General features: G+C 41.4%; 1 protein-coding gene across 24 annotated transcripts in view, besides 1 other annotated feature; it reads left to right on the top strand.

The window, feature by feature from the left end:
- The window catches only part of ZSCAN31 (zinc finger and SCAN domain containing 31), a 31535-nt gene extending 19017 nt beyond the window's left edge, over positions 1-12518 (top strand). For 5 of the 24 annotated variants that reach the window (XM_005249295.2, XM_047419255.1, XM_047419254.1 and 2 more), the window contains 4 exons: positions 312-465; positions 7477-7952; positions 9722-9872; positions 10401-12518. In XM_005249295.2, coding sequence (XP_005249352.1) covers positions 7572-7952; positions 9722-9872; positions 10401-11089 — 1221 coding nt within the window. In that variant the 5' untranslated portion in view covers positions 312-465; positions 7477-7571 and the 3' untranslated portion in view covers positions 11090-12518. Of the gene's footprint in view, positions 1-311; positions 466-879; positions 1900-4861; positions 4971-7476; positions 7953-9721; positions 9873-10400 lie in introns of those variants that run through there. The other 19 variants (NM_001135215.1, NM_145909.3, XM_005249296.6 and 16 more) reach the window with 17 other exon arrangements.
- Positions 1442-1561: an enhancer, noted in NCBI's record as "active region_24353". NCBI's record gives its function as "activates an Ori minimal core promoter by ATAC-STARR-seq in GM12878 lymphoblastoid cells {active_cell/tissue: GM12878}" and the evidence as "EXISTENCE:reporter gene assay evidence [ECO:0000049][PMID:35858748]".
- Positions 12519-12771: the final 253 nt, after the last annotated feature.

The following is a 12771-nucleotide window of genomic DNA, read 5'->3' as shown; positions in this document are numbered from 1 at the left end:
TTTGGATGTACCAAAGGATTTCACCCCAGTTCTGCTTTTGTACATTTGATTCCCTCTCCCAGAAATTTATTTCCTTTGCTCCTTTTCCAGTGTACACTGGCAGATTCCTGCTGAGTCTTGTTTTGCCCCATTAGTTTTCCTCTCTCTTCCACGCCACGAATTCAAACTAATACATACATTTATTTCCTACATACGTACTTAGCATGTTCCAGAGGCTATTCTCATCGATTTACAAGCACTTATTTTATTTTACTTCATTTCACATGCACGTCTGTTTTACGCAGTTACTTGTTTACACGCTCTTCTTCTAGACTTTGGGATTCCAGAAGACAGAGGTTTGAGTGTAAAACACAAAATAACAAAACCACAACAAAAACAACTCTGTATTCTCGTCCCCACCATTACCATCTCTCCTTTGTGATGTCAAAGAGACCAGAGGAAGTGGACAGACTCGGGGAAGAATAGGTAAGTATTAGAGACAGAAAAAGTATGAAGTCCCTTCTGTGAGGACTAACAATAGTGATGCCATTTTACAACCTTGATGACTGTGTTCTCAAGAAACAAAGCAAATGTCAACCCCGTCCATAGCTTCAACAGAGCATAACAGCTCTAACCGCAACAGAGCCTAACGGCCCTAACCACATCTGTCCCCAGTTGGAAAGTGTCCAAACAGTTCCAACTAGCCAGCACTTCCCCAACCCCTCCCCAACAGAAACTTTATTATAAAAGCCTCAGCTTGTAAGCGATCAGGATCTCAGCCAGATTCCTAACTGGAACTCTTCGCAGGCTTTTCCTGTAAATAAACCTGTTTGGCCGTGGAATTGCCTCCTGTTACTCGCTCTCTACGTTTATATCTTCCTAACACCTTCCGGCTCTAATGTTTTGGGTCTCGATGACCATCTAACTCCTAAATGCTGGGGGCCGCTCCCCATAGAAATGCCTCGCCGGATTTCTCCGCCTCGCACCCAGTGGGACTGGGATTTTTGGCCCCGGGGTTTGCAATAAGGGAGTCACCAAGCAGCAGCCACCTCTGGAATTCCTAGAAAGGAAAGAGTTGCCTGGCTTCAGCCAGTGGGCTCAGAACGGCTGACGCATTTCCGGCCTTTGCGGTTGATCGGTCATTGGGGTGCTGCAGCCCCGCCACCTGTTCCGTAGCTTGCCGGTGCCCCGAAGGTGAGTCTTGGCCCCTTGTCGCGACCCGCCAGGTTCCCAGAAGATTTCAGGTCTGTGCCTTGGAGTAGGCGGGGAGGGAACGTCTGCGCAGGCGTGACCCCCGCCCCTACACATTCACTGGCCTGAAGCCCCCGTGGAGTAGGTGGAGGTCCCGCCCCTTATCCTGAAGATTAAACAGCCTTTCTTTGTCTGAGATAACGCCCGGAGTTCTTTGTCCTGCCTCCAAGACGATAAAGGAGCGCAGACACAAAGGTGAGGTTAGAGCGAAAGTTTAATAAGCGAAAGGAAAAAGCTCTCTGCCAGCAGAGAAGGGGTCCCGACCGGGAGTACCCATTATGGGGCCCGTTCTGGGGTTTTTATGGACTGGAAAGGAGAGGGAATGCGCTTAGTCTGCGGGCTGTCCTGGCGAACGCTTGACTCAGCTTGGTCCGGGACCAATCAGGAGCTGAAATGATGATTCATAGCTGCTGCTTAGCTTGGCCCAGGACCTATCAGAAGCCGAAGTGAAAGTTTGGCCCCGGACCAATCAGGGGCTGAGGTGATGATTCACAGAAGCTGGGCTTATAGTCCTAATAAAGGAAAGTAGAGCGCCTGCCGGAACCTACCAGAACCCACCGTGTCCATACCCACAAAAGGAGAAGAAACTTTTCCTGGGAACCTGCTGACTATACAAAGGACAAAGGCATTATGTGTCAGGCCTTGTTCCCTTATCTGAGTGAGCTGGAGGTTCTGTGCAAGTTTTTATCCAAATGGGCCCGAGGTTTTTCTATCTATGCAGCCGTGGGCATATCTCTAGGCACAACACCCTGTGCTAGTTCCCTTATCGGTGCCTGCAACCTGATTTTTTCCCCAGGCTTAGTTTTATGTTATGTGGGGATAAGACACTAAATCATGGGCGGGGGCAGGCTCTCCAGGGACCCTTCCCTTGCTATCCACCTAAGGCAAGCTAGGTAGCCCTTTCACAGGGTGGTGGGAGAGACCCCTAGAGAGGTCGGAGCTTTGCGGCGAAACCGAGGTCCAGAGGTAGAGAAGGGTCTCTCCCTGTCAAAAGCCTTATTTCCTATATACACGTAATTTTTATTTAATAAGTCAACATTATGCAATGTTTGTCGCATATGTTTTCTTTAAATATTGTAAAAACCACCAACCTCATAACTTGTCACCTCTAGTTTCTAATGCATCTCTAAAAATTGGGGACATTTCCCTACATAACCACAAGATTATTAGCACACCCAACTAAGTGTAGGCGCTTCACCTAACACCTAGTTCATGTTTAAATCCTTCCACCCCCTGTTGTCCCACAGATGTCTTTTATACCTGTTTGTACCAACTAGGATCCAATCATAGACCACTCACTGCATGTAGTTGAGTCTTAACCTAGGGCAATTTTACTCTTTGCCTCCCTTCCTCCCATCCCATTGCCTTGTTTAAAAGGAGGCTCTTCCAGTCTTCCTGTAGTGCATCCCCATTTCTGGATTTGACTGTTTCCTCATGGTATTTAAGGTCTTCTTCTGTTTTCTTGTCATCGTAATTGGTATCCTTTGGGATTTATTTTACAACACACATGATTTGTGATTTACATGATCTCTTTGTTGCTGTTGTTAATTATGCTGACGTGAATGAAAACATTCTCATGAATGAAAACATTCTCTTTTATGCTCTTTCTGCCATGTTTTTATTTCGGTGAAGGACAGTGGGGACACATCAAATTCTGCATTGTTTCACTCTTTGCTGTCTGACACCTCGTAAACACTTAGTAAATATATGTGAAATGAATTCCTTTGTGGATTACAGGCAATGCATAAAAACTTAATCTTGTATTTAGGATGAGCTCTTCCACTTCCTCCAGGGGTATACCTTGTATACATTTTTTAAATTATGGCTTTTATTTTATTGTATTGTAACTATATCCTCATGAGCTATAAACACCTCTATATTCCAAGCTCTTAGCTCAGCTCCATAAATTGATTGTCCAGTGACTGAACTGCTTTTACAAAGGTTAAGCTCTTTCTCCTTTCACTTGTACAGTAACATCTAAACTAAGTGGAAGTCTTTCTAGATTCAGTGCAATAGTCTTCACCCCCTCCACTTTACCCTTTTTTTTAACTCTTGCCTCTTCTGCTTCTACTCTTGCTTTCTGCTTCCACTTTTGCCTCTACCCTCATTCCCTCAGCTCATTCTCCATCCAGTAGCAGAGCTTCTCGGTACAGAATTCAGCCTTGTCACTCCCTTTCTTAAAGCCTTCAGTGGTTTCTCATTGCATTTATAAAATCCTAACTCCTATGCCCTACATGATCTGACTCCTGCTTGGCTTGCCAGCCTAATATTTTGCCACTCTTCTCCCACATGACTGTAGACACTCCAGCCTCCTTTCCTGTCTTTGATGGCAGCATGCACTTCCTCAGGGCCTTTGGATAGTCCAGAGTGCTCTTCCCCTCCCTCATCCCTATTCTGTATGGCTCACTTCTTTTGCACTTAAGGGCTTGGCTTAAATGTTACCTCACTTCCCACTACCCCATCTAAATAGGCTGTCCATTTATTTGGTAACTCAGTGCCTAGTTTATTATCCTCAGTAATCATCACAACTCATAATTATTTTATTTGCCTCCTTACTTATTTTTGTTGTTGCTTTTATTTTTGGTTTGTCTTCCCCGTTAAAATGTTTGCTCCAGCAAAACAGGGCCTGGTCCCGTCTTTTTCACCATTGTAGCCCTAATGCCCAGCCAAGTACCTGGTATGTTATGAGTGCTCAATGAACATTTATTGACTAAATGAGCAAATAAATAGGTTAGTTACTAGTAATGAGTCTCTCCTTGTCCCTTGCCTCCTGGGCCTTAGTTGCTGATAAAGTCATAAGCTGAGTCAGCAGTCAACTACCTTTTATTTTTCTGTCTCCCTTTCATGAGTGTGGAAGTCCACTGCAGGTCCTGGAATGAAACAGTGAGCCTGGTTCCCTACAACCTGAGACACACCACATTTAATCCCCCAGGAGTTGAATTCTAGGATGTCTTTGACTGTTTCTGCAGTCAAGTCATCAACTCCACTAACTACTCTGTGTTTGTGTTTCTGGTCCACTGAGATTTTTGTCTTGTATTTGTAGCTGGCCATGTCTTTCTCTTTATCCCCTTTTATATATCATCTCCCAATGCCAAATGTTTGGAGTCAATTTGGTAATTAATCATAAATTGGCCTGTTTCATATCACCCTGGAAATCTAAATCCAATCTTTAATGTTGCTTTTGAGCTGTTGTTGGGATGTTCAGGGGGACACCCCTGGTGGTATCTAGAGATGGGCTTCAGTACACAAATGGGAGGTCACCACTGGTCACAGTCTGTCCTGGATTTTCTTGAATATTTCTTCTAGTATTTTCAACTGTCTACTGACTATTAACATATGAAGTCAATATTTTATTTTGTTGGGTCTATTTCCTCTATGAAATGAAGATATTCAATTTACTAATACTACTTTACTAATAATACCTGCTCATTGATATTTATGTAATGATTGCTATGGGCCAGGTACTGCGCTAAGCTTTTTATATGCGTTACCTTGTATAATCATAACACCTATAAGAGGAGTACTATGGTCATTAACACTTAGAGAGGCCACAGGATTTGAACGTTATTCACTGTACTGCAGTGCTTCAGTAAAGATCATTTTAAATAGTTTATTCCATTTAATTTGTCAGATGTCTATCAAGTATTTGTTCCCTGCTAGGATATCAGATGACACCAAATTTGCATTTAATCGAATAAATCAGGTAAACAAAACATTGAAGATGCGTTCATAATTTTGTGGTAAGTCCAGACTTCTAAGTCTTCTAGGCATTTTAAAAATAAGAAGTGTCTGTAATCTGTAGCAGTTTGGGAGAGGAGATAGGAAGAGATGGGAGGACTGGCTGGGAACACAGGGTAATGCATATACATCCTGGGAACAGGGGTGGTTTGGGGGACAAGAAGAAAGAGTGTATTTTCCCTTCTGTGTTCCTTTCCCTGTCCTTACCATGGCTTGATGAAGTGAAAGGGGATATAGGAGGGGAGAATATATTTATTTGCCCAGAAAACATTTATGGAGCACTGACAGTGGGCCAGGCACTGTGCTATGCATTAAGGATAAAGACAGTTCATGGTGGCATAAGACCAGGAGGTAAATCCTAAGCACCAATTATGGGGAGAAGAATACAATTGATGGAGAAATACTCCACCTGTGGCTTTGGGTATGTGAGAGATTGCCTGTAGTGATCAAGAAAACAAAAAACAAAAAAAGCCAACTGTATCTCCATGGTTTCTCAATAGCATTAAAGTGCAGAACGCATATTTGCAGAACAATTTTTGCCTATAAACCTAAGGCCATGAGAAGCTACATGTTTAATAATAATGGAATCCAATACAAATTCATAATTAGAAATTTTCAGACTTTCAGTCTTCTGCACTGAAGACTCAACAAACCAAATTACCAGATGCTACAGTAAGGAGTAAAAAGATATACATTTGGCATTAGACATTGACAAAGAATAAATGCCATGATCTTTGTAACTCTTCAAATTCTCAATTCTGTAACATCATTTTATGTGAATATTTTATTAAGGTCTGTCTTTCCCATGGTAAATACCATAAAGTTAGGGACCGTTCCTTTATTCCAGACACCTAGTAGACACATAATATTGGAATGAATTGAATAAATGCATTTTCACCCAATAAAGTGTAACTGAAAAACTTCCAAGTGATCTCAGACCTTAATAATTCAATTAGCATTGGGCAAAAATCATATAAAACTTAAATTACACCACTAAAGTCAACATTGTATCAGTTTAACTACCATTAAACTTCCCAACTTAAATGGCCACAACCTTGCAACATATTCTTACCATTTCCATCCTGAATCTTAATATTTTCTATAAATACAGATCTAACACCATAACAATGAAATAAAAGCCTTGATGCCTCTCAGTTTTCCATAAAGTCAAGTCTAACGTCTAAGCCTAGAGTTGAAGGCCATTTTCTATCCCATATAATGCATCTTTCTAACCTCATCTCCTCTCACAATTTTACCCACAACCCATATTCTATAGTTCAGCTTTGCCTGTCTTTATCGCCATTGTGTGTGCTCTTAAATACCTTTCCTCATGTTGTTTGCTTGATTTATGATGCCGGATACCTTCCTTTCTCTGCCTGATAAATTCCTTTTCATGATTTTAGTCTAATTCAAGTGTACTTTCCCCTAAGTCACATTCTTTCAATATTCCATACCCTGTCAGAAATTCTTTTTTCTATTCTTTACTCCCTGAATATTCTGGTGAGGCCTCTATTATAGCATTCATCATCTGATATTATAGCTGGTTTTATATATCCTGTTCTCCTCCTAGAGCTACCATATACACATATTGCCCAGGCTTTTAAATCACTTCTACAGACTGAATATCCCTTATCCAAAATGCTTGGGACCAGAGTGTTTTGGATTTCAGATTTTTCTGGATTTTGGAATATTTGCATTATACTTAACAGTTGAACATCCCTAATCTGAAAATCTGAAATATGAAATGCTCCAATGAGCATTTCCTTTTAGCATCATGTCTGTGCTCAAAAAGTAAATATCTCTTGCTTTTGTAATTCCACAGTTACCTAATTCTGCTTCCCAGAGGTTCACCCTTCTATATCAGTTATCTATTGCCATAATAATGTGGTATAATAAATAGCCACAAAACGTTGGTGGCATATAGTGATAAACTTATGTTTAGCACATAAGTATATGGGGCACAGCTTACTTGGGGTGGGCAGGCCCTATTTATACATCTGCATTCAACAGCTCTGCAGACCTCAGGCTAGGCCTGCTCACATGTCTGGCAGTTAGCTGGCTGTCAGCTAATCTAGGATGGTCTCATCTGCTCCACTGGGGTGATCTGGCTCTGTCCTGCATGTCTCTTATCATCTGAAAGATATCCTTCTTCTGGCAGTTTCAGAGGGCAAAAGTAAGCAAACCCAGTCACATAAGTACTGTTCAAACCTCTCCATGCATCACATTTGCTAATATCATTGGCAAAATCAAGTCATATTGTTGAATCCAGTGTCACAATGGAAGGGCACTGCAAAATATTAATACATGGCTATAGGGAAGGGGGAAGAATTGAGGCCATTAACATACTCTGCCATAGCCTTTTCCCAGTTGCTAAACATATGTAAGTCAGTAACTATATATACATTTTATTAACATAAATGATAGAATACCATTCATGTTTCCATACTTTGCTTTTTTCCCCACTACTTTATGATTTATTTCCATTAATATATAATGCTCTATCATCAGGTGTCTTCTCCTAAGGAAGATTAAATCAGAAAATTTTAAATCACAGTTATCCCTTTACTTAAAGCCAGAGTAAGCCTTCCAAATTAACCCCAGGAATGGCTTCAACAGAGGAACAGTACGATCTTAAGATTGTGAAAGTGGAGGAAGACCCTATCTGGGACCAAGAAACCCACCTTCGAGGGAACAACTTTTCTGGCCAAGAAGCCTCCCGACAACTTTTTAGGCAGTTTTGTTACCAAGAGACTCCTGGTCCCCGAGAAGCTCTGAGCCGGCTCCGAGAACTCTGTCATCAGTGGCTAAGGCCAGAAATCCACACCAAAGAGCAAATCTTGGAGCTGCTGGTGCTGGAGCAATTCCTGACTATCCTGCCTGAGGAGCTCCAGGCCTGGGTGCGGGAGCACCATCCGGAGAGTGGGGAGGAGGCTGTGGCTGTAGTTGAAGATCTGGAACAAGAGCTTAGTGAGCCAGGGAACCAGGTGAGAGGAGAAAGATGGACTTCTAGACATTAAATACTAAATGAAAGGTGGGGTTTGGTGACACAGGTTGGTTGGCTATAGCTATATGTATTAGTTCTCTGTTGTGTAACAAATTACCCCTAAACCTTAATGGCCAAGACTATGGTCATCTGATGACAAGACTCAGGTGGGCGGATCCACTTCCAAGATGGTTTACTGGTACAATTGTTGGTAGGGGGCCTCAGCTACTCACTGGCTGTTGGCAGGAGGTCTTAGTTCTTTACCATGTTGGTACTCTTCATGGGGCTGCTTGAGTGCCCTCACAACATGTCAGGTGGCTTCCTCCAGAGAGGAGAAGGAGAGAAAGAGAGAGAAAGGAAAAAGCCACAGTGCTTTTTTGTTGCGGGAAGTCAGGGACCCCAAATGGAGGGACCAGCTGAAGCCATAGCAGAAGAATGTAGATTGTGAAGATTTCATGGACATTTATTAGTTCCCCAAATTAATACTTTTGTAATTTCTTATGCCTGTCTTTACTGCAGTCTCTAAACATAAATTGTAAAGATTTCATGGACACTTATCACTTCCCCAATCAATACCCTTGTGATTTCCTATGCCTGTCTTTACTTTAATCTCTTAATCCTGTCAGCTGAGGAGGATGTATATTGCCTCAGGACCCTGTAATAATTGCATTAACTGTACAAATTGTACAGCGTGTGTGTTTGAGCAATATGAAATGTGGGCACCTTGAAAAAAGAACAGGATAACAGCAATTGTTCAGGGAATAAGAGAGATAACCTTAAATTCTGACTGCCAGTTAGCTGGGCGGAACAGAGCCATATTTCTCTTCTTTCAAAAGCAAATAGGAGAAATATCACTGAATTATTTTTCTCAGCAAGGAACATCCCTGAGAAAGAGAATGTGCGCCTGGGGGTAGGTCTCTGAACTGGCCCCCCTGGGCGTAGCCATCTCTTATGGTTGAGACTGCTGGGGTGAAATAGACCCCAGTCTCCCATAGCACTCCCAGGCTTATTAGGAAGAGGAAATTCCCGCCTAATAAATTTTGGTCAGACCGGTTGATCTCAAAAACCCTGTCTCCTGATAAGATGTTATCAATGACAGTGGTGCCCGAAACTTCATTAGCAATTTTAATTTCGCCTTGGTCCTGTGGTCCTGTGATCTCACCCTGCCTCCACTTGCCTTGTGATATTCTATTACCTTGTAAAGTACTTGATGTCTGTGTCCCACACCTATTCGCACACTTCCTCCCCTTTTGAAAATCCCTAATAAAAACTTGCTGGTTTTTGTGGCTTGTGGGGCATCACGGAACCTACTGACATGTGATGTCTTCCCTGGACACCCAGCTTTAAAATTTCTCTCTTTTGTACTCTGTCCCTTTATTTCTCAAGCTGGCTGACGCTTAAGGAAAATAGAAAAGAACCTACATGAATATCAGGACAGATTCTCTGATACTTTTTACGACTCAGAAGTTATATACCATCTCGTCTGCCTCACTTTCTATTCAGTAGAGTTGAGCTATCAAGTACAGCCCACATTCAGGGGGTTGGGGATGGGCAGTTAGATTCTACCTGGTGGATTTATTTTAAACCACCACACTTGATTGGGCCACTCTTCCCTGTTTTGCTTTTGGGTAATGAATTAAACTCTGGTCCTTCCACTGTGACATCTCTCTAGAAAATGTTTCATATAGTTCCATGTGATATCTTTCATTTAGTATTAGCTTGTACTCCTATAATCCCCCTCTTTAACCAAATATGCCTACCTGCCTTCAGGCTCCAGACCATGAACATGGACATTCTGAAGTGCTCTTGGAGGATGTGGAACATCTGAAGGTCAAGCAGGAACCAACAGACATACAGCTTCAGCCTATGGTGACACAGCTCAGATATGAATCTTTTTGCCTCCACCAATTTCAAGAACAAGGTAAGGATTTTGACAGGTCCCTTCAGGAGATCTCTGGTGGGTCTATATAGGGCGATAGTTAAGACTGTGGACTCTGGGGCTAAATTGCCTGGGTTGGAATTTAAACGCTGCATTTAATAGTTCTGTGACAATGGACAAGTCAGGTAACCTCCCTGTGCCTTCAGTTTATGCATATTTGAAGTGGGGATAATCATAGCACTTCAGTCACAGAGTCATTTGAGATTTAAAAAGTTAACATATGTAAAACACTTAGAACAGTGCCTGCCTTGTAATGAATATAATATAGTGCCTGCTTATGTACATCCTCACTGGGAGCCTCTGGGTGCTCCCTCCAGCCATTTTAGCAGTGCTGATGACCCCTTACTCTACTAGCCTAAACATCCCTGTTTAACCCAACCTGCTCCTTAACTGACAGTTCTTCATTCCTAGAACATGTCTGTTTGATATCGATCTTTCTATTTCCATCCTATGATTGTATTCTTTCATAAAGGAAAGAGATTACATTGTTTGGTCCATTTATTATTCCAGATGGTGAAAGTATACCTGAGAACCAGGAGTTGGCATCAAAGCAAGAAATCTTAAAAGAAATGGAACATTTGGGGGATAGCAAACTCCAAAGAGATGTATCTTTGGATTCTAAGTACAGAGAAACTTGTAAACGAGACAGCAAGGCAGAAAAGCAGCAGGCACATTCCACTGGAGAGAGACGCCACAGGTGCAATGAATGTGGGAAAAGCTTCACTAAGAGTTCAGTACTCATTGAGCACCAGAGAATCCACACTGGGGAGAAGCCATATGAATGTGAAGAATGTGGGAAGGCCTTCAGCCGGAGGTCAAGCCTGAATGAACATCGGCGGAGCCACACTGGAGAGAAACCCTATCAATGTAAGGAGTGTGGGAAAGCCTTCAGTGCCAGCAATGGCCTCACTCGACACAGAAGAATCCACACAGGGGAAAAACCATATGAATGCAAAGTGTGTGGGAAGGCTTTCCTCCTCAGCTCATGCCTTGTTCAGCATCAGAGGATACACACTGGAGAGAAGCGCTATCAGTGTCGTGAGTGTGGCAAAGCCTTCATTCAGAATGCAGGGCTTTTCCAGCATCTCCGAGTCCACACTGGTGAGAAACCCTATCAGTGCAGTCAGTGCAGTAAACTCTTTAGTAAGCGGACACTTCTTAAGAAACATCAGAAAATCCACACTGGAGAGAGACCATAAGGGTGATGAGTTTGGGAAAGCCTTCAGTCATCATTGCAACCTTATTAGGCATTTTAGAATCCATACTGTTCCAGCAGAACTGGACTAATTCTGTGGACCCTCAGACCCCTAAATGGGGCCGTCTTGGAAAGTAAGATTTTCAAGTGGCTTATTCTGTTCTTATAAAATTTATTTTGTATTGCATTGAACCACTTGTCTACAAACCAGGTGTTGGTGTCTCCTGTGTGGATGACTGTGATTGTAGGGGGTTGCTGGGTGGCCTTCTTATTCCCTAGCCTTTGGTCCATTTCTTATGATTTCCTTTAAAGGCACCAAATCTTATCTGGAAATAAATTGTTATGGAGGGGCTGTTTTTGAGCAATACTGCATATTGAACAATTCTAAAAGACCAGTATCTATGTATACTTTTAAAAAAAAGATTTGCTAAGATCAAAGGATATTCAGAGGTGCATCTTTTTCTGTAAGAGTGACATTTTAAACAAATGTAAGGTTTTGGGGAATAAGAATCGTCCACATTCCCACAGGAAATCATTGCTATGGTCTCCCCTAGGAATGTGATAGATAGCTTCTATAATTATGCAGCATTATCCATAGTATGAAACCTGTAGTTTTAATGGTTTAGAAATCTATGTCTCATTTCATATCTAACTCATGTTTTTGATACGAATCAATATATATGTTGATATCATGAGTTAATATGAGTTTGACATGAATCATCAACATAGTATATACATATCAACATAACTATGTTGATGATTCATATCAAATTCTCAATGCAGGTCATTACTGTAAGTTTTCCATTTTTGTTACAAATAATAAGTAAGATGATACTTTAAAATCTCTGTTCTTCACAAGGTACCTCTTTAATTCATAGCCTTTTATGTCAGCATTATTCTTCTTTTGGGGGTTGGTCAGCAACTTTGAGTGCCATTGCAAGCAGCATCATTTAAGTAGTTTTATAAAGAAAAGAAGTCTGATATCTTGGGCAGCTTGCTGCTTACTGGGGAGACCAGCATGCTTAGACACTTATTGCCAGGGTTAAACATATGCTCTGGCACCAAGTTCAAATCTTTCCTCCCCATTTGTGAGCTGTGGGACTTTAGGCAAGTTATCTAAATGCTGCTATGCTATAGTCTCCCCACCTGTAAAACAGAGGATGATACCAATACCTTCCTCATAGGGTACATAAGATTAAATAAATACAAACTTGTACTTAAAATGTAGCTCTCAATAAATATGCATTATGATTTACATACGAAATAATAGCATTTAACAAATGTAGGTAGAATTTTAAGTATCATGTTAAAATTAGGATACGAAATGCCTCTGCTGACATTCTTGTTACTCTTTTCTCCACAGTCAAAACCTGAATCAGAATATTTCAAAAGAGAGGAAATAAAAGTTCAGCTTAAAACTGTTCTGCCCTAAACCTTTGGCTTTGAAGTTTATTTTTAAAGCGTTAAAGAATACATACATATGTGTGTGTGTTATTTTTTTCCTCATGGCTTAGGAACCATAAACAATTCTTTAAAAGTCACTTACTATTTTATTTGTCAATAGAACATTAGCAATTAGCTGAATTCAGATTTTCTGGAATAGTGTTTGTGAAATTTTATAATACCTACAAATCACTTGAGATCTTGTTAAAATGCAGATTCCTACTTCAAAAGGTCAGAAGGGGG

This window comes from Homo sapiens, chromosome 6 (assembly GCF_000001405.40).
Source record: "Homo sapiens chromosome 6, GRCh38.p14 Primary Assembly".
Taxonomy (NCBI): domain Eukaryota; kingdom Metazoa; phylum Chordata; class Mammalia; order Primates; family Hominidae; genus Homo; species Homo sapiens.
The sequence above is the reverse complement of the archived record's forward strand: the minus strand, read 5'-3'. Positions and strand labels throughout refer to the sequence as shown.